General features: G+C 44.1%; 1 protein-coding gene across 1 annotated transcript, besides 8 other annotated features; it reads left to right on the plus strand.

The window, feature by feature from the left end:
* Positions 3,919-4,428: an enhancer, noted in NCBI's record as "H3K27ac-H3K4me1 hESC enhancer chr12:116996681-116997190 (GRCh37/hg19 assembly coordinates)". NCBI's record gives its function as "activates a minimal SCP1, AML or CMV promoter by ChIP-STARR-seq in naive H9 embryonic stem cells {active_cell/tissue: H9 hESC(naive)}" and the evidence as "EXISTENCE:reporter gene assay evidence [ECO:0000049][PMID:30033119]".
* Positions 3,919-4,607: a biological region, named in NCBI's record as "H3K27ac-H3K4me1 hESC enhancer GRCh37_chr12:116996681-116997190".
* Positions 4,268-4,607: an enhancer, noted in NCBI's record as "active region_7094". NCBI's record gives its function as "activates an Ori minimal core promoter by ATAC-STARR-seq in GM12878 lymphoblastoid cells {active_cell/tissue: GM12878}" and the evidence as "EXISTENCE:reporter gene assay evidence [ECO:0000049][PMID:35858748]".
* MAP1LC3B2 (microtubule associated protein 1 light chain 3 beta 2) lies at positions 4,424-21,649 on the plus strand. The gene is made up of 2 exons (NM_001085481.3): positions 4,424-4,476; positions 20,885-21,649. Exon 2 carries the CDS (start codon positions 20,986-20,988, stop codon positions 21,361-21,363), a length of 378 nt encoding a protein of 125 aa, NP_001078950.1. The 5' UTR covers positions 4,424-4,476; positions 20,885-20,985; the 3' UTR covers positions 21,364-21,649.
* Positions 4,828-4,877: an enhancer, noted in NCBI's record as "active region_7095". NCBI's record gives its function as "activates an Ori minimal core promoter by ATAC-STARR-seq in GM12878 lymphoblastoid cells {active_cell/tissue: GM12878}" and the evidence as "EXISTENCE:reporter gene assay evidence [ECO:0000049][PMID:35858748]".
* Positions 4,918-5,017: an enhancer, noted in NCBI's record as "active region_7096". NCBI's record gives its function as "activates an Ori minimal core promoter by ATAC-STARR-seq in GM12878 lymphoblastoid cells {active_cell/tissue: GM12878}" and the evidence as "EXISTENCE:reporter gene assay evidence [ECO:0000049][PMID:35858748]".
* Positions 6,507-6,801: an enhancer, noted in NCBI's record as "tiled region #12411; HepG2 Activating non-DNase unmatched - State 23:Low". NCBI's record gives its function as "activates a minimal TATA promoter and a strong SV40 promoter by Sharpr-MPRA in HepG2 cells {active_cell/tissue: HepG2}" and the evidence as "EXISTENCE:reporter gene assay evidence [ECO:0000049][PMID:27701403]".
* Positions 6,507-6,801: a silencer, noted in NCBI's record as "tiled region #12411; K562 Repressive DNase matched - State 5:Enh". NCBI's record gives its function as "represses a minimal TATA promoter and a strong SV40 promoter by Sharpr-MPRA in K562 cells {active_cell/tissue: K562}" and the evidence as "EXISTENCE:reporter gene assay evidence [ECO:0000049][PMID:27701403]".
* Positions 17,615-18,115: an enhancer, noted in NCBI's record as "H3K4me1 hESC enhancer chr12:117010377-117010877 (GRCh37/hg19 assembly coordinates)". NCBI's record gives its function as "activates a minimal SCP1, AML or CMV promoter by ChIP-STARR-seq in primed H9 embryonic stem cells {active_cell/tissue: H9 hESC(primed)}" and the evidence as "EXISTENCE:reporter gene assay evidence [ECO:0000049][PMID:30033119]".
* Positions 21,650-21,753: the final 104 nt, after the last annotated feature.

Below are 21,753 nucleotides of genomic sequence, written 5' to 3' on the forward strand. Positions count from 1 at the left end.
ATCCTTGCCAACATGGTGAAACTCTGTCTCTACCAAAAATATATAATAATTAGCCGGGTGTGGTGACGCACGCCTGTAGTCCCAGCTTCTTGGGAGGCTGAGGCAGGAGAATCACTTGAACCCAGGAGGCGGAGGTTTCAGTGAGTTGAGATCGTGCCACTGCACTTCAGCCTGGGTGGCAGAGTTGAGACTCCATCTCAAAAAAAAAAAAAAAAAAAAAGAAAGAATTGTGCATCCAGATCTCCTTGGAGTTGTTACCTCCTCTCACACAAGGCCCAGAAAACTCTATCAATTGAAGCCCATTCAGCAAGGCTGGATTGAGTATGTACTGTGCATGTGGCATGCACCAAGTGAAACTAATAAAAGTAGTCAGTGCAAAGGCTTAAGGGTTCACCTTGTGCAAAGCACATTCTGTTGAGACCTCCTCTGATGCTCAGGGTAATGCTGTGAGGTGGAAACAGCATTGCCACATGGATTGCATGCATGCATTTAACTTTTATACCATGCATGCATTTAACTTACATAATGCATGCATTAAACTTACATAAATTCAACTAACTGCAGTTGGCCAAAAGGAAAGGAGAAAAATCCTCATTGAAAGGGGGTAGACCTGTCGTGTCCCCGTGCGAACTTGCCACACGGGAAGCATGGAAATGGAATATATGGATCTGTTCTCGTTGTCTCCAATCCTGGCAGCCTTTCCTAGAATGAGCAGCTCTCTGTGCTGAGTGGGATTCTAGCTGAGGATTTCTCAGCCTTGGCGCTACTGACATTCTGGGTTGGATCATTATTAGTTGTGGGGACTGTCTAGTGTGTTGGAGGATGTTTCGAGGCATCTCTGGCCTCCATCCACTAGATGCCAGGAGCGTTTATTCCTACCCCTAGTTATGACAACCAAAAATGTCTTCAGGTGCTGCCACACATCCCCTGAGGGGCAAAATCACCCTGGCTGAGAATCACTCATCTAGAGTTTAAAATGCATATTTATTAAAATGCATATTTATTGGTGCTCAACTAAGGAGCAGGATTGGAGGTGGGGGATGGGGAGGATGGGGAGGTGGGTAAATGGCTGCATTATGATGATAGTATTATTGTTACAGGAAAGTGGTCCCAATCCAGACCCCAAGAGAGGATTCTTGGATCTTGCTCAAGAAAGAATTCAGGGCAAGTCCATAAAGTGAATGCAAGTTTATTGAGAAAGTAAAGGAATCAAAGAATGGCTACTCCATAGGCAGAACAGCCCCAAGGGCTGCTGGTTGCCCATTTTTATGGTTATTTCTTGATGATGTGCTAAACAAGGGGTGGATTATTCATGCCTCCCCTTTTTAGACCATATAGGGTAACCTCCTGACGTTGCCATGGCATTTGTAAACTGTCATGGTGCTGGTGGGAGTGTAGCAGTGAGGATGACCAGAGGTCACTCTGGTCACCATCTTGGTTTTGGTGGGTTTTAGCTGGCATCTTACTGCAACCTGTTTTATCAGCAAGGTCTTTATGACCTGTATCTTTTGTTGACCTCCTATCTCATCCTGTGACTTAGAATGTCTTAATCATCGGGAATGCAGCCCTTTTTACCCAGCTCCTATTCAAGATGGAGTTGCTCTTGTTCACAAGTCTCTGACATTACGACAATTTGCTGACTTGTGGCTGTGCCATACCTTGTGGAAGGGGGCGGAGTTAAGGGATTTTCACGGAAATGTTTTCCTTCACCTTGACTTTAGAATCTAGTACCCATATATGCTCACTGCAACTCAAGTCCCACAGGTGAGAAAATGGGGGCCCCAGGGAGTTAGTCACTTGCCTAAGGTCTCAGAGCTCATGAGTGACAAAGAAGAGATTCAAGCCCAATCTACTTTACTAGGAAACCCGCTCCCTTTTTTTCCCCCCTTTTTTCTTTCCCTTCTCTCATTGTTTTGCCTTCCTGTCCACAAGAGGGGTCTAAGGGAAATCAGCGTGCCAGAAGGTAGAGTCTCACCACAGACTCTCCACTACTGCAGGTGGCACTGAGTGTCATCGGCCTGCCTCACAGTTCTGGATGAGGCCACAGGTAAATTCAGATTCCAAAGGTTTATGAAGCTGGTATGACTTAGGACTCTTCTAGCTGCAAGAGACAAAAGCCTAATTCAGACTAGGTCAAACCAAAAAGGAACCATATTGACTCACATAACTAGCAAGTTGAAGGGGTGATGGCTTCAGGCATGGCGGGATCAAGGGGCTCAAATGGTCATCAGCATATGATCTCTCCATTTTTGGTTTCATCTCTGTTAGCTTCATTCTCTGAACAACTCTTCCTTCCATTATACAAAGAGAGCCAATGGCAGCACTGAGTGTAAAACTTGAGCTTTTAGAAATCCAGCAGAAAGATTTCCTCCCTCCTAAGAGATTCATCCAACATTCCTGAAATTCACTCTGATTGTCCCAGCTTGAGTCCCAGGGATGTTTCCAGAAATGAATCACTATGGCCAGGGGCATATGAGACCCCATGATCAGGCCTGGGCCACCTCCTCACTTCCAGAGTTTGAGAGTAAGTTGAGCCCCAAATCTTACGGAAAAAAGAGTGGGAGGAGGAAGAGTAGTATTCTGTGGCCAACCTAGAAAACCACAGAAATTCCTCCCACCTTCTGCTCAGGCCAGTGGGAAACTTGTAAGACAGAGTCCCAGTCCATGTGAGTGGCGAGTGGGGGCATCTTGGGAGGGGCCTTCCAAAGGCAAAGCCAGGCTGGTTTGGTGGAGTCCTTTCCAGAACCCATCTGCTTGTGTAAAGCCTAGCAGAGGCCACCTTCAGCAGCCCTCCCGGATACTGGTTAAAGTGTTGTTATTGTTTGAGACAGGGTCTCACTCTGCCACCCATACTAGAGGGCAGTAGTACAATCTCGGCTCACTGCAACCTCCACCTCCCGGGTTCAAGCGATTCTCCTGCCTCAGCCTCCTGAGTAGCTGGGACTACAGGCATGTGCCACCGTGTCCCGCTAATTTTTGTATTTTTGGTAGAGATGAGGCTTCACCATGTTGGCCAGGCTGGTTTTGAACTCCTGATCTCAAGTAATCCACCCACCCTGGCCTCCCAAAGTACTGGGATTACAGGCATGAGCCACTGCACCCGGACTTAAAGTGGTTTTTAAAAAGTGCCGTGTGAGACTTCCAAATAGTACTCACGGGGAGGGAAATGAAAGGAGAGGATTGGGGAAGAAACACCTTCTATTTTTTTTTTTTTTTTTTTTTTTTAGAGACAGGGTCTTGCTCTGTCACCCAGGCTGCAGCCTGGACCTCTTGGGCTCAAGGGATCCTCCCACCTTAGCCTCCTGTGTAGCTGGGACCACAGGCGTGCACCGCCACACCCAGCTAATTTTTTTTATTTTTTTGCAGAGATGGGGTCTCTCTATGTTGCCCAGGCTGGCCTCAAACTCCTGGGCTCAAGTGATCCTCCCTTCTCGGCCTCCCAAAGTACTGGGATTACAGGGGTGAGCCACCTCACCTGTACAGCTTCTTTGGAGAATGGGCCTGGGCAGGTCAAACAGGGGCCACTCTACACCATCATGGCACAGCAAGAGCTGGGCTATGTAGGTTCAGTATTCTTTGTCATTTAATCCTTGTGACGACCTCGTGTCATCATTGCTGTTTTACAGATAAGGAACTGAGGCTCAGAGAGGTTCAGTGTCACAGCTAGCATTTCACTTACATATCACAGAGCAAAGGCTCTCTTTGTCCAGAGACAACGTGCCTTTAGGTGATAGAGCTAGGACTGGAACCCAAGTCTATCTGACTCAAAGTCCACACAGCTTGTCCCCCATCCCGCAGGGACCTCTCCACGCTAGTGAGCCCCACGAAACCCCCTCAGTGCTTCGTTCCAGTCTTTTACCTTCAAGCCCAGTCAGCGAGTTCTTTATTTCCACAAATGGTGCTATTAAACTAATGGCTTCGGGAGCTATAGGCTGGCCTCGGCACAGTTACACATCTCTCCACCCACCATGTTCTGGCTTCCAAATAAATACATTGGAAATTCCAGGAGCCGAAGCCCATTTGGAAACGTTTCCGGGCCACCATTTTGCTTTGGGATGGGCAAGAAGAGACACCCTAAACTTGAACTCCTGTCTGTGCAGCCTCCAGCCGGCCAGGCGCTAAATAAGGCCACGGCCCGTTTCCTCCTTCAAAAGTCCCTTGTAAAGGGCGATAGCAGACCCCATCAGGCAAAAAGCTGAGAAGCCAGGGTTGAAATAGAGGCCTCTTTCTGTTTGGTCAATCAGCAGCTGCAAAGGATGCGTAGGATGGAGCTAAATTTATTTGTTCCTTTCTTTCTCAGCAACAGCGACGAGGCCCGAGGTGCAGCTGTCTCGCCTCGCCTGTCTTTTGCAGGCACCGGCATGCACAGAAGATGGCTCTCCGGGAGGAAGATTCCTTTCCATTTTGTTCTCTCTCTGCCTCCGCAAGGCTCGCAGCCACCTCTCGGGAGTGCAGGGCCAGATCCTGTGCCAGCGGGTAGGAATATGTAGCTGCCTCCCAGCCCCAGGGTGGAAATCATGACCTTTGAGAAGCAGGCAAGCTGCACGGCATAGATACTCAGGCCTGGTGAAGGCAAAGTGGGGCCACACCCTAGAAAAACCACAAAAGTCCCCACAGCCTCTGCTTTCACTAGTCAGACCTGTGGGAAACTTGTAAGACACAGTCCATGTGATCGGCGGGTGGGGGCATGTTGGGAGGGGCCTTCCGAAGGCCACAGCCAGGCTGGCAGGGCAGAGTCCTTTCCAGAATTTATCTGTTTGCTTAAAGCCCAGCGGAGGGGCCACCTTCAGTCAACCCTCCAGCATACTGGTCCAAGTAGTTTTTTCAAAGTGCTTTGTGAGACTTTCAAAAGGTACCCATGGGGAGGGAAGTGAGAGGAGGAGGAGGGGACGGTGAAGAAACAGCTTCTTTATTTCTAGCCTTGCTTGAATGGCTTCTTGACGGTTACTGCTCCAGTTTTGCTGAGTCAGAAGAATCCCACAGCCGCTCACCGGAAACACAGCTGTTGGGCAAAAATAACCACAGAGCTGAGCATCATGCACCTTCCAGAAAAGATGGCAGAAAACCTCAAAACAAAAGAGAAATACAAAACAATAGGAGACACTGTCAAGAAAAAAAAAACAAAAACAAAAACCACCGCAGCTCACTAACCGATCCAAGCTGGTGGCGCTCTCCTGATCTCTCTCCACTCCCAGGCCCAGCAACGGCTCTGAAATAAAGCTAAGTTTGGCTATATATATATATATATATATATATATATATATATATATATATATATATATATGTATGTATATGTATATATATATATTTAGATAGAGTCTTCCTCTGTCGCCCAGGCTGGAATGCAGTGGCGCGCTCTCGGCTCGCTGCAACCTCTGCCTCCTGGGTTCAAGTGATTCTCCTGCCTCAGCCTTCCGACTAGCTGGGATTACAGGTGCGCCACCACGCCCAGCTAATTTTTGTATTTTTAGTAGAGACGAGGTTTCGCCATGTTGGCCAGGCTGGTCTCGAACTCCTGACCTCAAGTGATCCGCCCACCTCGGCCTCCCAAAGTCTTGGGATTACAGGTGTGAACCATCACATCTGGCCTACTTTTACACTGTAGTGGGTTTAATAGTGTCTCCCCAGTCACACCTCCACCAAAAAAAGAAAAGATATGTCCACAGTCTAATGTGCTGCAGCACCTGTGAATGTGACCTTAATGGAGAAAGGATCTTTGCAGGTGTAAATTAATTTTAGGATCTCAAGATTGAATCATCCTAGACTACCTGGGTGGACCTCAAATCCAATGACAGGTATCCTTATAAAAGGAAGGCAGATCCAGCTTGGGCAACATAGGGAGACCCTGTTTCTACAAATAGTTTAAAAAAAAAAAAAGGCTGGGCATAGTGGCTTACACCTCTAATCCCAGCACCTTGGGAGTCCAAGGTGGGCAGGTCACTTGAGGCCAGGAGTTCAAGACCAGCTTGCCCAATATGGCTTAACCCCATCTCTACTAAAACTACAAAAATTAGCTGGGCATGGTAGTGTATGCCTGTAGTCCCCGCTACTTGGGAGGCTGAGACACAAGAATCACTTGAATCCGGGAAGCAGAGGTTGCAGTGAGCTGAGATTGTGCCACTGTACTCCAGCTTGGGCAACAGAGCACGACTCCATCTCAGAAAAAAAGCTGTGGGGGACAGTGGTGTGTGCCTGTGGTCCCAGCTACTTGTGAGGCTGAGACAGGAGGATCTCTTGAGCCCAGAAGTTCGAGGCTGCAGTGAGCTATGATGGCACCACTGTACTCCAGCCTGGGTGACCAAGTGAGACCCTGTCTCAAAATAAAAAAAAAAAAGTGTGGCAGAGGTAGATGGGTAGATTAGACACACAGAGAGGAAGTCCCAGAGGAACTTGGAAGTGAGGATTGGAGTTTTGCAGCTACAAACCAAGGATATTAGGGCACTCATAAGAAACTAACAGAGCCACCCCAGGCTTCTGTTTACCAGGTCCTCCCCTGGCCATCTCCTTCCCCTTGTCTGGGCTGAAAACATTCACAGCATCTTGTTTGCGTGGACACCGAGTTTCCCTTTCCCCAGACTTCATAACGATCAGGAAGCAGGATGGGGCCTTGAGGACTCCCGAGACTAAGGGAGGAGTCGAGGGTCCCTGGTTGTAGATAAGTCTTGGCCACAGGCCAGGAGTGTGACCTCATTAACCAGCAGCCATTAGCCATTCACTGAGGCAGCTGGATCCTGGTTCTGCCCCTTACTAGCTGTGTGGCCTGGGGTAAGGTATTTACCCTCCCTGGGCCTCTGTCTCCTCATCTGTCCAATGGAGATAATTAGAAAACTTCCCTTACACAGTTGTTGTAAGGATGGAGCAAGTACATGCAAAGCTGTTCTTGAACGAGGCTGGACTCTGTGCTTCTTATTGTCCAGTGCTTTACACAAGTGTAGTAAGGCTATTGTTTTTCCCTGTCAGCATCTATGACACTATCTTTTGCTTCAGCATCCTGGCTTGCCTTCGGGAGACCATCTCTCTTCCACCCCCTCATTCCAGGAGAGGGTATATCACCCAGACCTGACCAGTCAGACTCAGCTCAGTTCAGGGATGGGAATGTGATCCAAAGTGGGTCCATCAGAGCAAATAGTTGCCGAAACTCGTAGGGAAAAGAAATTCACTTTCTCTTGGTTCCACTATGTGGTGGGATATGAGCGTGGAGCATCTCTGCTGCTACCTAGGGAGAGGCTGCCTGAGACCGATGCCAAAACCCCAGAAAGCAGAGATAAAAGATAGTGGGAGAGTCCTGACAACAATATTTGTATCCCTGGATCCACCTGTGCCTGAAACCATCCGTAGCTCCAAACTCGCAAGTTCCGTGAAACAATAAATCTTTATGTTTAAGACAGTTTGAGTTGATCACTTGTAAACAAAGGCATCCTGACTCATGCAGTGTCTTATGTGATAATCTGAGCAGGAGGTAGACCTCTTATCCCTATTTTATGAGAAGAAACTGAGGCTTAGAGTAACTTAATCACTTGCATAAAATCACTAGTAAGTCCAGGGCTGTCGTCTGATCCATGTAGCCCTGGGAAGGTAGAACGATGATGTGCTTGGTGCATGCCTTGGGAAAGTCACATAAATCTCAAGGCTTTGAGTGGCCAATCTGTACCATAAAAGAGTTGGTATTTTTTAAACTTTCAAATGTATAGCTGATTACAAAAGTGACTATGACAATTAACTATGTATTTGCTCTCCATAACTGACAGATGTTGGCATTTTCTCACAGTTGCTTCAGAGATGAGCTGGTATCTGAAATACTATATAGCTCCTCGTTTCTGTGTCTTGATTCTGGATTGTAAAACACCTAGAAAGTCTGACTTGGCAAAACTTGAAAAAATTTCAAAGATACAGAAGCATTTTATATCTACTCACTTATTTATGATTTCTGGCATTCTTCATTTCTTAAATAAATCTGAGTTTTCACCCTGTATTATTTTTGCTCAGCCCAAACAAGAACTTTATTTTATTTTATTTTATTTGAGATGGAGTTTCGCTCTTGTTGTCCAGGCTAGAGTGCAATGGCGCGATCTCGGCTTACCACAACCCCTGCCTCCTAGGTTCAAGCGATTCTTCTGCCTCAGCCTCTCGAGTAGCTGGGATTACAGGCCTGCACCACCATGCCTGGTTAATTTTGTATTTTTTTAGTACGGGGTTTCTCCATGTCGGTCAGGCTGATCTCAAACTCCTAACCTCAGGTGATCTGCCCACCTCGGCCTCCCAAAGTGCTGGGATTACAGGCATGAGCCACCACACCTGGTAAAGAACTTCTTTTAATATTTCATATGGTGTAGGTCTACCGGTAATAAATTCTACCACTTTTTGTCAGTAAAACATTCTTTCACCTTCATTTAAAAAATATATTTTCACTGGACACAGACTTTTGGTTGACAGTTTTGTTTTTGTTTTCAAATGTAATGCATTAAGGGTGTTATTCCATTGTCTTCTGTGTTGCATTGTTTCTAAGGAGTAATCAGTGATAATTCTTATCTTGGTTCTTTGTATGTAATATGTATTTTTACCTTGGCTGCTTTTAAGATTTTGGTCTTTATTGCTGGTTTTAAACAATTTGATTAAGATGTGCCTTGATGTTCTTTTCTTTGTGTTTATCTTGCCTGGGCTTTGCTGAGCTTCTTGGATCTGTAACTTTATAGTTTTTATCAACTTTGGAACATTTTTAGCCATTATTATTTCAGGGTTTTATTTTCATCCTCTCCTCCTGGAACTGCAATTATTCGTAGGATAGATCTTCTGTTATTGTTGCATAGGCCCCTGACACTCTGATTATTTATTTTTTTGGCCCTTGTTTCTCCTGGTTCTTTAATGTGAATAACTTCTATTATTATGTCATTGGATTTACTGATTTTTTTTTCTTCTGCAGTCTTTAATATGCTGTTAAACTCATCTAGTAAATTATTATTTTATTTTTTAACAAATGGGATCTTGCTGTGTTGCCCAGGCTGGCCCCAAACTCCTGGGTTCAAGCAATTCTCCCACCTCAGCCTCCAAAGTAGCTGGGACTAAAGGTGCATGCCACCACACCCAGCAAATTTTTATTTTAGATATTGTATTTTTTATCTCCAGAAGATACATTTGGTTCTTTTTTTATAGCTTCCACTTTTCACTATGTTTATATTCTTTAGATCTATGAACATATTTATAATAACTTTTAAAATCTTTGTCAGTTAATTACATCATCTTTGTCATTTGGGGTCTGTTTATATTGACTGGTATTTTTCATGATAATGGGTCACATTTTCCTGCTTCTCTAGATGTCTAGTAAGTTTTCATTGGATGCTAGACAATGTAGATGCTGTGCAGCTGAGTGCCTGGGTTTTGTTATTTTCCTTTGATGTTTGTTTTGGGAGGCAATTGAGTTACTCATTGACCAGCTTGATTTTTTTTTTTTAAGGCTTTTTTTTAAGCTTTATTGCAGTGGCTCTAGAGAAGCTTCTTATCTAAAGCTGGCTTAGGCCTACAAGAAAGGTGTAGCCTCACAGTGGTCTCTAATGAATGCCTTGGATGTTCAACAAATTATTCCCATTCTGGCTTGCTAAGATTTGAATGTCCCCCAGTCCCATGAGAGCTCTTGGAATTATTCAGCTTATACCTCTCCAATAGCAGTTCCTTGACAGTCTTGTATCATTTTACCCAATATCTGAGCAACTTAGTATTTAGCCAGTGACTCAAGTGGTCCCCTGTGCAGATTTCTGGCACTATGTGTCCATATAACACCATCTTGCCTGGGACTTTGCGTCACAAATTTCAGCCTTTTCAACCTCCATATATTATAATCTCTCTCTTCAACTCAGAGAGGCCACTGTGCTCTGCATGGGATCCTCCTCCCTGTGCTGCAGTCTAAAAAGCTCTTCCAGGCAGAAAGCCAGGGTGATCACTGGGCTCACTTGATTTGCATCCCTTCTTTCAGGCCTCATAGTTCTACACTACCTGTGGCCCAATCTCTGAAAAACAATTGTTTTATATCTTTGGTCTGGCTTTCCAGTTGTGTACAGCTGGAAAACAACTTTGGTACCAATTCCTTCATCATGGCCAGAATCAGAAGAAGTTCACCCTGATAACTTAAGAAAGAAAAATTTAAAAAAGGAACATATTGGAAGGGCCTAGGGGAATTCACCAAAAAGAAGTAATAGCCAAAGAATAGTCCTCAAAAGGGACAGAGACCACAGAAACTCTGGAGATCCAGGGTGTCTTAGTCTGTTTTCACACTGCTGATAAAGACATACTCGAGACTGGGCAATTTACAAAAGAAAGAGGTTTAATGGACTTACAGTTCCACATGGATGTGGAGGCCTCACAATCATGGTGGAAGGCAAAGAGGAGCAAGTCATGTCTTACATGGATGGAGGCAGGAAAAGAGAGAATGAGAAACGAAGCGAAACGGATTTCCCCTTATCAAACCATCAGATCTCATTCACACATCTTATTCACTACCACGAGAACAGTATGGGGGAGCCGCCCCCATGATTCAGTTATCTCCCTCTGGGTCCCTCCCACAACATGTGGGAATTATGGGAGTACAATTCAAGATGGGATTTGGGTGGGGACACAGAGCCAAACCATATCACGGGAGAACTAAGAAACAGTCTCTTCAGGACATAGATGACTGGACAAATTAGCTCCATGCCCATGGGGTCCTTCAAGACTCAAATTTCTGGGAGGAGATATATGGTCTAGTCACAGTCATGGGCTTACCTCTTGGCCAGAGGAGGACAAGACACTTTGGTTAATGATTCTACCAAGATGATATACGATAGTGGGAGGACAGATTCCAAAGCAAAACTGGGTTGCTCCTTCCAGAAGCAAGGAGATTGGCCCCTTGGCAGGCAAAAACAACAGAGACACATTACAAAATATTTATGAAAGCAATATTTACGAAAGCACAAAATCTTTAAGTAGGGTTGGCTTTTGAACTCAGAGCCGTGAGGTTTCTTTTTGCTATTTCACCACAAGGCTGCATGAATTCGTTCTTTCCCCTGACATCTCTGCCTTCCCCTCCAACACAGACAGACTTTCTCCACAACAAATCCATTTTATGAGCAACATCTAGACAATAACAAACTTCTCATCAGGCCAGAAATGCCAGTTTATAGCTCATCGAGAACAGAGATTCTCTGAGCCTGCCAATGTTCAAGGAAGATTTCCAGAGAATAAAACTTGCTTGGGGGTGAAGGGCAAGCTTGAACCTGTGTCCTGGGAACAAAACATGCAGCAAAATGCATTTCTTCTTTTCCCACTACTCATAACTACCAGGAGTTGGAAGCACCTTGCCTGAAAGAGAAGGTTGTGTTTTGTGTTTCAAGAGTGAGTCTGAGGTAGCTGCAGGCTAGATTATTAAGCAGATTAATTCAACCAAATATATTGACAAATGCACCAGCAGGTAAAGGAAGAAGATGTTCTCTGCTTAGATTGTTGTGAGGAAGTTTCTGTGTCCCCACTCTGCCTAGAGGCTAATCAGATATGTGTGTGTGTGTGTAACCTCTACAAAACAAAACACCCCAAATCCTTAAAATATCCACAAATGTTGTTTTCTTGTATGATCATACCCATTTCAGAGATGAAAAATCTGAGATACAGTACGTGGAACTGTGAGTCAGTGATTAAAAAAAAAAAAAAAAAAAAAAACAAGAATTGAGGCCAGGTGTGGTCACTCATGTCTGTAATCCAAGCACTTTAGGAGACCGAGTCAGGCAGATCACCTGAGGTCAGGAGTTCGAGACCAGCCTGGCCAACATGGTGAAACCCTGTCTCTACTAAAATACAAAAATGTGCTGGGCGTGGTGGTGGGCACCTGTAGTCCCAGCTACTCAGGAGGCGGAGGCAGGAAAATTGCTTGAATCCAGGAGGTAGAGGTTGCAGAGAGCCAAGATCGTGCCACTGCATTCCAGTCTGGGCCACAGAGTGAGACTCTGTCTCAAAAAAAAAAAAAAAAAAAAAAAAAAAAAAAAAAAAAAAAAGAATTGAGTTCAAAACTGCAGGATAAAACTTTTCTGTATGTCTTGAGAATAATTTTGAAAGCAAGAGAAACGGAAAGGAAGAGAAGGGAGAGGGAGGGGAAAGGACAAAGGAGGTAAGGAAAGCAAGTTAGCTCTTTGGCTAATTCATGTCTTCAAAGGTGCCTGGGTTTTTGGAGATTTAGAGTGCTGAGAGATGCTGTTTGCACACCACCAAGATTCAAATTGAAATTATAGGCAAGTAAAAGCACCTCCTATCCCATGGCTAACTCCTTTCTCCAGCTTTACATGTTAGCTATGTCCACCCTCAGGTTCTCAACTTAGAAAGAAGTCTTTTTATTCCTTGAGGGGATTTATTTCTTTCTCAAGAAAGAAATCATGGTAATTTCATGCTGATTGAGAAAAGACCAAAATGAGCTTATAAAATTAATTCCTGGGAGAGTTTTAGTCACTTGTATCTTGTTGACTGCTTTGCAAATCTTTTTTTTTTTTTTTTTGGCCAGGCACGGTGGCTCACGCCTGTAGTCCCAGTACTTTGGGAGGCCGACGTGGGTGGATCACTTGAGGTCAGGAGTTTGAGACCAGCCTGGCCAACATGTTGACTCCAGGTCTCTACTAAAAATACAAAAATCAGCCAGGTGTGGTGGCACATGCCTGTAATCCCAGCTACTCAGGAGGTTGAGGCAGGAGAATTGCTTGAACCCCAGAGGTGGAGTTTGCAGTGAGCCGAGATTGTGTCACTGCACTCCAGCCTGGGTGACAGAGTGAGACTCTGTCTAAAAAATAAAAATAAAAAAATATATATATATATGTAAACCCTCTAAGGGTTTCGGTTGCCAGGAGAGAAGAAAATGGAACCCAAAACACTTAGAGGAGGAATGACAGACTCATTTTATAGAACAGTGGGAAGGGATTTGGGGATTAGGAAAACCTTCTGGGGAAGTGTCTGGAGCCTGCGAGTTCTTGAAAAGGACAAACGATCATGTTCCCCATTGTGTTTCAGATGCCCAGCACAATGCCTGATCTGCACTAGGTGTTCAGTAAATTATTTGTTGAACGAAAGAATGATTAAGTGAGTAAATGTGAATCTCCAGTCAGGCCTAACCTATGTTTTTGCCAAACCAGACTCCAATGCCTTGATAGCTTTGCAGCTCTTTTTCCATTCTTTGTCGTCCTGGCAATTGTCTCTGATCCTTTCAAGGCAATAGATGCGACCCTTTGTGGATTATGAACATCTCTGAGAATCTGCTGAGAGTAACAGGCCCTTTTCTCAAAAAAAAGAATGCACAGACACGTACACACAATTTGGCATATCTTTTCAAGTGAGCGAATGCCCTGAACCTCACATGTGGCCACAGCCTAACAATCTCTGGAGCTTTTCCCACTCTTCTTCCTGTCTCTCTGCCCTGCAGACTTATTTGCTCCTTCACTGGGTCCTCATAGCACTTTTTAAAATCTTTTCAGTTTTTAGCTTAAAACAACATGTACTTTATTCACAAGTCTGTAATTTGTGCAGAGCTTGGGGGATGCCCTCTGGCTCCACTTCAGGCTGGGGCTGGAATCACCTGAAGGATTACTGCATGGTTTGAATGTGTCCCCCAAATTTCATGTACTGGAAACTTAGATCTCCAAGTTCATATGTTGATGGTATTTGGATGTGGGGCCTTTAGGAGGTAATTAGGATTAGATAAAGTCATCAGGGTGCAGCCCCCATGATGGGACTGGTGGCTTTATGAGCAGAGGAGGAGAGGCCTGAGCTGACACACATATTCTTGCCCTTTCATCATGTGATGCCCTCCACCATGTTATGATGCAGCAGGAAGGCCCTTGCCAGACACTGGCACCCTGATATTGGACTTCCCAGCCTCTAGAACTGTAAGAAATAAATTTCTTTTCTTTCTTTTTTTTTTTTTTGAGACAGAATCTCTGTCTCCCAGGCTGGAGTGCAGTGGCGCATCTCCACTCACTGCAAGCTTCGCCTCCTGGGTTCACGCCATTCTCCTGCCTCAGCCTCCTGCGTACCTGGGATTACAGGCACCCACCACCACGCCTGGCTAACTTTTTGTATTTTTTTTAGTAGAGATGGGGTTTCACGGTGTTAGCCAGGATGGTCTCGATCTCCTGACCTCATGATCCGCCCACCTCGGCCTCCCAAAGTACTGGGATTACAGGTGTGAACTACCGCGCCCGGCCAATTTCTTTTCTTTATAAATTTCTTTTCTCTAGAAATTACCCAGTCTATGATATTCTGTTATAGTAGCAGAACACAGACTAAGACAATTGCTCACTCACCTGTCCAGAAGCTGTCCAGAGATTGATGCTGAAGAGACCTAAACAGTGGGGAGCTAAAATAGCTGGGGGTCCTCAGGCATCTCCTCCTGTCTCTATGTGGTCTTTCTATGCATTCTCTCTGGCTTATCCAGAGCACTTTAAACATACCTCTCTTACTACTTAACCCACAACGTAGTAGTTGTTATTTGGGCCTGTGGATTGTGGCAATGTACTTAACATCTGTTTCATTGGCAAAACTGTAAATCCTTCAAGGACAAGGACCATAACTTGTTCATCTCTATTTCCTTAAGACCCTAGCAGCTACCTTGTATGTAACTATGTATTTAATATATGCTAGTTGGAATATGCACGTAGGTATGTGTTTATTTTATCATGATGTCCCACTACATTTCAACAAAGAAGTAGAATGGCGCTTATATACATACCTCAATACAACAAAATAAAAATGCAAATCAAAGAAATGGGGATAAAGTAAAAATAAAGCTAGGAAAAATGTTAAAATAAAAGATAACAGGCCAGGCATGGTGGCTCGCTCCTGTAATCCCAGCACTCTGGCAGGCCTAGGTGGGCAGATCACAAGGTCAAGAGATCGAGACCATCCTGGCCAACATGGTGAAAACCTGTCTCTACTAAAAATACAAAAATTAGCTGGGCATGGTGGCACGCACCTGTAGTCCCAGCTACTTGGGAGGCTGAGACAGGAGAATTGGTTGAACCCAGGAGTCAGAGGTTGCAGGGAGCCGAGATCGCGCCACTGCACTCCAGCCTGGCCACAGAGTGAGACTCCATCTCAAAAATAAAATAAAATAAAATAAAATCACTACCCAAAATGCATACCCACAAAGTTGTATATCATTATTGTCAGTGGCTCAGAAGAAGGGGCAAAGAGGGAAATACCCTCATTACTAAAGTTCACAGGGTTGCATACAGATGATCCTCAATTTACAATGGCTCAACTTATAATTTTTCAACTTTATGATGGTGCAAAAGTAACATGCATTCAGTAGAAACTGTACTTCAAGTACCCATACAGCCATTCTGCTTTTTGCTGTTAGTACAGCATTCAATAAACATGAGATATTCAACACTTTATTATAAAATAGGCTTTGTGTTAGATGATTTTGCCCAACTGTAGGTTAATATAAGTGTTCTGAGCTTGTTTAAAGTAGGCTAGGTGATATGGTTGGGCTGTGTCTCCACCCAAATCTTGTCTTGAATTGTAGCTCCCATCATTCCCATGTGTTGTGGGGGAACTCAATGGGAGGTAATTGAATCATGGGGGCAGTTTCCCCCATACTGTTCTGGTGGTAGTGAGTAAGTCTCACGAGATCTGATGGTTTTATAAGGGGTTCCCCCTTTCACTTGGCTCTCATTCTCTCTTGCCTGCTGCCATGTAAGATGTGCCTTTTGCCTTCCACCATGATTGTGAGGCCTCCCCAGCCACGTGGAACCTCTTTTCTTTATAAATTACCCAGTCTTGGGTAAGTCTTTATCAGCCACATGAAAACAAAGTAATACTCTAGGCTAAGCTATGATGTTTGGTAGGTTAGGTGAATTAAATGCATTTTCAACGTATGATAGGTTTACCAGGATGTATTAATAAGTCGAGAAGCACCTGTGTAAGGCAACTGATCACTTGGGAAAACACAGTTTGTGTGAGTAACAAGGTATATAAGAAATGTTCTTCTATCGGTTGCAATTTTATTGCAACTTCCTTGTGATAAAAATGATAGCATATTTATACCATGATTTCTCTGTAATGTGCCTCAATTCAGGTTAAGGGAGGTTCAATACAAGAAAATCTACAAGTGGCCAAAACAAACGGCTTAAAGCTGCAATTCTGTAAGGGTCTGATTTTATCTAAGGACATATTTAAGACCATGTAGTCCAGCTTTTTCTGAAGAGTACACTATGGAATAACAATCTTGGAAAAGCTCTGCCCATAATGGCTTCTGTGGTTGAGGAAAGGTGGGAAACCCACTCACGTCTTCCTCTTGGAAGTGCACAGTAAAACACTAGCATTTTAAAGGCTCTGAGAAGTCCTGCAGTAAGGAAACCCAGCATTTGCCAGGTTTCTCTGACTACTGTTGTGCAAGAACCTTGGGGCAGTCTCAAAATGTGACCTAGGTCCACTGATCCTACCATGAAATGAATTTTTCCTTCTCGTGAGAATAGATGGGAGTAAGGGACTGCTGTTCTTTTTTTTTTTTTTTTTTTTTTTTTTTTTTTTTTTTTTTTGAGACGGAGTCTCATTCTGTCGCCCAGGCTGGGGTGCAGTGGGGCGATTTCTGCTCACTGCAAGCTCCGCCTCCCGGGTTCATGCCATTCTCCTGCCTCAGCCTCCCGAGTAGCTGGGACTACAGGTGCCCACCACCACACCCAGCTAATTTTTTTGTATTTTTAGTAGAGACGGGATTTCACCGTGTTAGCCAGGATGGTCTCGATCTCCTAACCTCGTGATCCGCCTGTCTCGGCCGCCCAAAGTGCTGGGATTACAGACGTAAGCCACCGCGCCCGGCCACGGACTGCTATTCTTAGGGACGTTATTCTGAACTGTCTCTCCTTTGTCCTAAAAAGACCTAGGAGAGAAACAAAGTAATGTCCGCGAAGTTCCTGCTTAAAGCAACTGTTGTTTTTTTTTTTAATGGTCATAGCTGTAGAAAACAACATACTTCTTGTTTGTTTTCTATAGCTATGACCGTTACAAAAAAAAAAAGGGTTAGGGAGAAACTTGTCCTCTTACATTGCAAATAAAGGAAAAGAAGGGTGTGATTGAATGTTACCGAGAGTTCACAATTTCTGCCGCTAAGAAAATAAAAAAGAGTCCTCTCTATAGACATCAGACAAGACCTTTAGATTATCCATAACCTTGATCATAAAATGATCGACACTTGCTCAGGCCAATCAGAAAACCAAAGAGTTGTACCTTCAGCAGATAGATTGCCAGAAGCAGCACGGGCATCGTCTATTTGTTTTGGTATTGCATATGAAAGGAAATCAAGGGTATCTGTTACTCTTTGTCCAGCTCCTGTCTCCTGGTACACTAACATTTTCATCTCAAAAGAATCAAAACGTATCTAGTCCAAAAAGGAAAGGCATGCCTCAGTTCTTTTTTTTTTTTTGAGATGGAGTCTCGCTCTGTCGCCCAGGCTGGAGTGCGGCGGCGTGATCTCAGCTCACTGCAAGCTCCGCCTCCCAGGCCCACACCATTCTCCTGCCTCAGCCTCCCGAGTAGCTGGGACTACAGGCTTCCGCCACTACACCCGGCTAATTTTTTGTATTTTTAGTAGAGACAGGGTTTCACCGTGTTAGCCAGGATGGTCTCGAACTCCTGACCTTTTGATCCGCCCGCCTCAGCCTCCCAAAGTGCTGGGATTACAGGCGTGAGCCACGGCGCCCAGCCAAGGCATGCCTCAGTTCTACATGCCATAGAACAATCCCAGAGTCTTTTCTTCACAGAATACTTGTTAATATCCACTTACTATTCTGTGGAACACACTGGAAATCGGTGATTAAGTACATAGAAGGACTGCAGAGTCTTTAGGTCAATGGTTCTCAAACTAAGTTCCCCAGAACAGAGTCTCAGAGGCTGCTAGGGAGGGATGGAGAGGCCCTTGGCAGGCAGAGGTCTGGGCCCTCAGCCTCAATTCAATTGTGGCGGATTTTTTTTGTTTGTTTTTCCTGAGACAGTCTGGAGTCTGGTTCTGTCTCCCAGGGCCAGTGGCACGATCTTGGCTCACCGCAACCTCTGCCTCCTGGGTTCAAGCGATTCTCCTGCCTCAGTCTCTTGAGTAGCTGGGACTACAGCACGTGCCACAATGCCCAGCTGATTTTTGTAGTTTTATTAGAGACAGCGTTTCACCACGTTGTCCAGGCTGTTCTCAAACTTCTGATCTTAGGTGATCCTCCCACCTTGACCTCTTAAAGCACTGGCATTACAGGCATGAGCTACGGTGCCCAGCTGAATTATCTTTTTTTCTACATAAAAACTTGTTAGGAAAAAAAAGTTTCTGTTACTTAAAATTAGAAAATATTTGAGAGCCACTGCTTTAAACAGAGCTCCATATACATTATTTTTCACAGCTGAGATTCTGATAAGGCAAACGATCTTAGTTATATTCTTAGCAAGAACCTGGGGGCAGAAATTTAATTATTTTAGATTAAAAGCAGAACCATGGCAAAACAGCATAAACAAATAAAAGATTTGCAACTATATAATTCATAAAGGATTAATATCGTCTTCCTTTTTCTTTTTCTTTTTCTTTTATTATTTTTTTGAGACAGAGTCGCTCTGTCGCCAGGCTAGAGTGCAGTGGCGTGATCTCGGCTCACTGCAACCTCTGCCTCCTGGATTCAAGCAATTCTCCTGCCCCAGCCTCCCAAGTATCTGGGATTACAGGTGTGCGCCACCACACCTGGCTAATTTTTGTGTTTTTAGTAGAGATGGGGTTTCACCATGTTGGCCAGGCTGGTCTCAAATTCCTGATTTCAAGTGATCCACTCGCCTTGGCTGCCCAAAGTTCTGGCATGAGCCACTGCGCCCAGCTGATATCCTTAATTTATAAGACAATCTTACAAAATAAAAAGACCAATAGCCCAGGCAAAACATGGGGCAAGGCTGCAGCTTTCACAGAAGTAGAAATGCAAATGGCCAACGAGCATATGAAAAGATGCTCAGCCTCACTTGTCAGGCAAATGCAAATGAGAACAATGAGATACTATTTTTTACCCATCAGATTGGCAAAAATGGAACATATGTGTAACATCCAGAGCTCGTGAGGGTGTAAGAAATCCAGTTCCTTTGAACACCATTGGGGGAGGTCTGTAAATTATTATAACGTGGTGGAAAATCAACTTGGTATTTTTGAAAATTTAAGCTGTGGCCCAGGACTCCTATTTCTGAGAATATATCCACCAGAAATGAAAATGTCAGTATACAAAGACATAAATCTATAAAGAAATTTATTGCAGTATCGTTTGTAATAGTTAAAAAAAAAAACCTGGAAGCAGTCTGAATGTACATTAACAAAAACATGGTTGAGCAAGTCATGATATATTTATATTAAGAAAAACAGTGCAGGTATTAAAAATTACAAAATAGGCTGTCTCAGAGGCTCACACCTGCAATCTACCACATAAGGAGGCCGAGGTGGGCAGATCTCTTGAGCCCAGGAATTCAAGAACAACCTGGGCAATATGGCAAAACTCCACTTCTACAAAAAATAAAAAATAAAAAATAGCTGGGTGTGGTGGCGTGCCCCTGTGGCCCCAGCTATTTGGGAGGCTGAGGTAGGAGGATTGCTTGAGTCCAGGAGGTCAAGGTTGCAGTGAGCTATGATCGTGCCACTGTGCTCCAGCCTGGGGGACAGAGCGAGACCCTGTCTCAAAAAGAAAGAAAAAAAAAAAGCATACAAACACACATACACATTTTTGTATTTTTTTAATTTTGGTAATTTTTAGTATTTTTGTGTTTTTAGTAGAGACAGGGTTTTGCTATGTTGGCCAGGCTGGTCTTGAACTCCTGACCTCAAGTGATCCACCAGCCTCAGCCTCCCAAAGTGTTGGGATTACAGGCCTATATATTTAAATATAATACATCTGAACATAGTGGCTGGGAGATAGCCCTGCAACACCTTGTTAAATATTAAAAAAGCAAATGTCAGCGGGTGCAGTGGCTCACGTCTGTGATCCCAACACTTTGGGAGGCCCAGGAGTTCAAGACCAGCCTGACCAACGTGGAGAAACCCCGTCTCTACTAAAAATACAAAAATTATCCGGGCTTGGTGGTGCATGCCTGTAATCCTAGCCACTCAGGAGACTGAGGCAGGAGAATCACTCCAACCCAGAAGGCGGAGGTTGCGGTGAGCCAAGATGGTGCCATTGCACTCCAGCCTGGGCAACAACAGCGAAACTCAGTCTCAAAAAAAAAAAAAAAAGCAAGCAAATATTATTCAATTTTTATTAAAAAAATAAAGAAGAAAAAAAGTCAAACTCTGAAAGGGAGTTTCTATATGTTTTTGTAAATGAAGAAAACAGGAAGGAAACATTTATATCAAATTCTTAGCAGTGAATGAATCAGGGAGTTGCATTGGAGAGCAGTGGAGCGGCTATTAACTTTATTTTAGATAATTCTTTATTGTTTGAATTGCTACAAAAGATATACATGACTTTCATAATTCAAATGATCAGTATCTTTAAAAACAGAATTAGGGGTAAAAATTCAAAGCAAATCATATTACTTTGACAATCACTCAAAGGCAGGGTGGGCCTGCCTTCCTGGAACTGAGTCTTAGAGACCCAGCTGAGGTTTGTGTCTTAATAGAAGGCACCCCAGTTAGGCATAGAGTTAAGTTGAAGGAGTGCTTTTCAATAAAGCCAAGATTTCCCTTGAAAAACAGTCTTGACTCTTCTCTAATACATGCCAAAGGCTTGAATAAGACCCCAAAATAATGTACTATAGAACAGGTGTCAGCAGATGTTTTCTGTAAAAGAACAGATAGTAAATATATGATGGTGTGTGGCTGTAACATATACAGTTTCTGCCACAACTACTCAGCTCTGTTGTTATTGTGCAAAAATAGCCTTACACGGCCACAGTCGGATTCGCTGCCGCAGCAGCCGCCACCCCCAGGAGCCGCCGGGACCCTCGCGTCGTCGCCGCCGCGGCCCAGATCCCCACACCATGCCGTCGGAGAAGACCTTCAAGCAGCGGCGCACCTTCGAACAAAGAGTAGAAGATGTCCGACTTATTCGAGAGCAGCATCCAACCAAAATCCCGGTGATAATAGAACGATACAAGGGTGAGAAGCAGCTTCCTGTTCTGGATAAAACAAAGTTCCTTGTACCTGACCATGTCAACATGAGTGAGCTCATCAAGATAATTAGAAGGCGCTTACAGCTCAATGCTAATCAGGCCTTCTTCCTGTTGGTGAACGGACACAGCATGGTCAGCGTCTCCACACCAATCTCAGAGGTGTATGAGAGTGAGAAAGATGAAGATGGATTCCTGTACATGGTCTGTGCCTCCCAGGAGACGTTCGGGATGAAATTGTCAGTGTAAAACCAGAAAAAATGCATCTCTTCTAGAATTTTTTAAACCCTTACCAAGGAAAAAAAAAGGGATGTTACCAACTGAGATCGATCAGTTCATCTAATCACAGATCATCAAACAGTAGTGTTCCCACCTAGGAGTGTTAGGAAGTTGTGTTTGTGTTTCAAGCAGAAAAACTGAGCTCCAAGTGAGCACATTCAGCTTTGGAAACTATATTATTTAATGTAGGCTAGCTTGTTTTCAAATTTTAAAAGTTTAAAAATAAAATACTTTGCATTCTAAAAAAAAAAAAAAATTGCCTTACACAATGTGTAAGTGAATGAGGATGGCTGTGTTCCAATACAATTTTATTTATAAGAGAAGTAGCTGGCCAGATTTGACCTGGGGCTATAGTCTGCC

Source organism: Homo sapiens, chromosome 12, assembly GCF_000001405.40.
Source record: "Homo sapiens chromosome 12, GRCh38.p14 Primary Assembly".
NCBI lineage: Eukaryota > Metazoa > Chordata > Mammalia > Primates > Hominidae > Homo > Homo sapiens.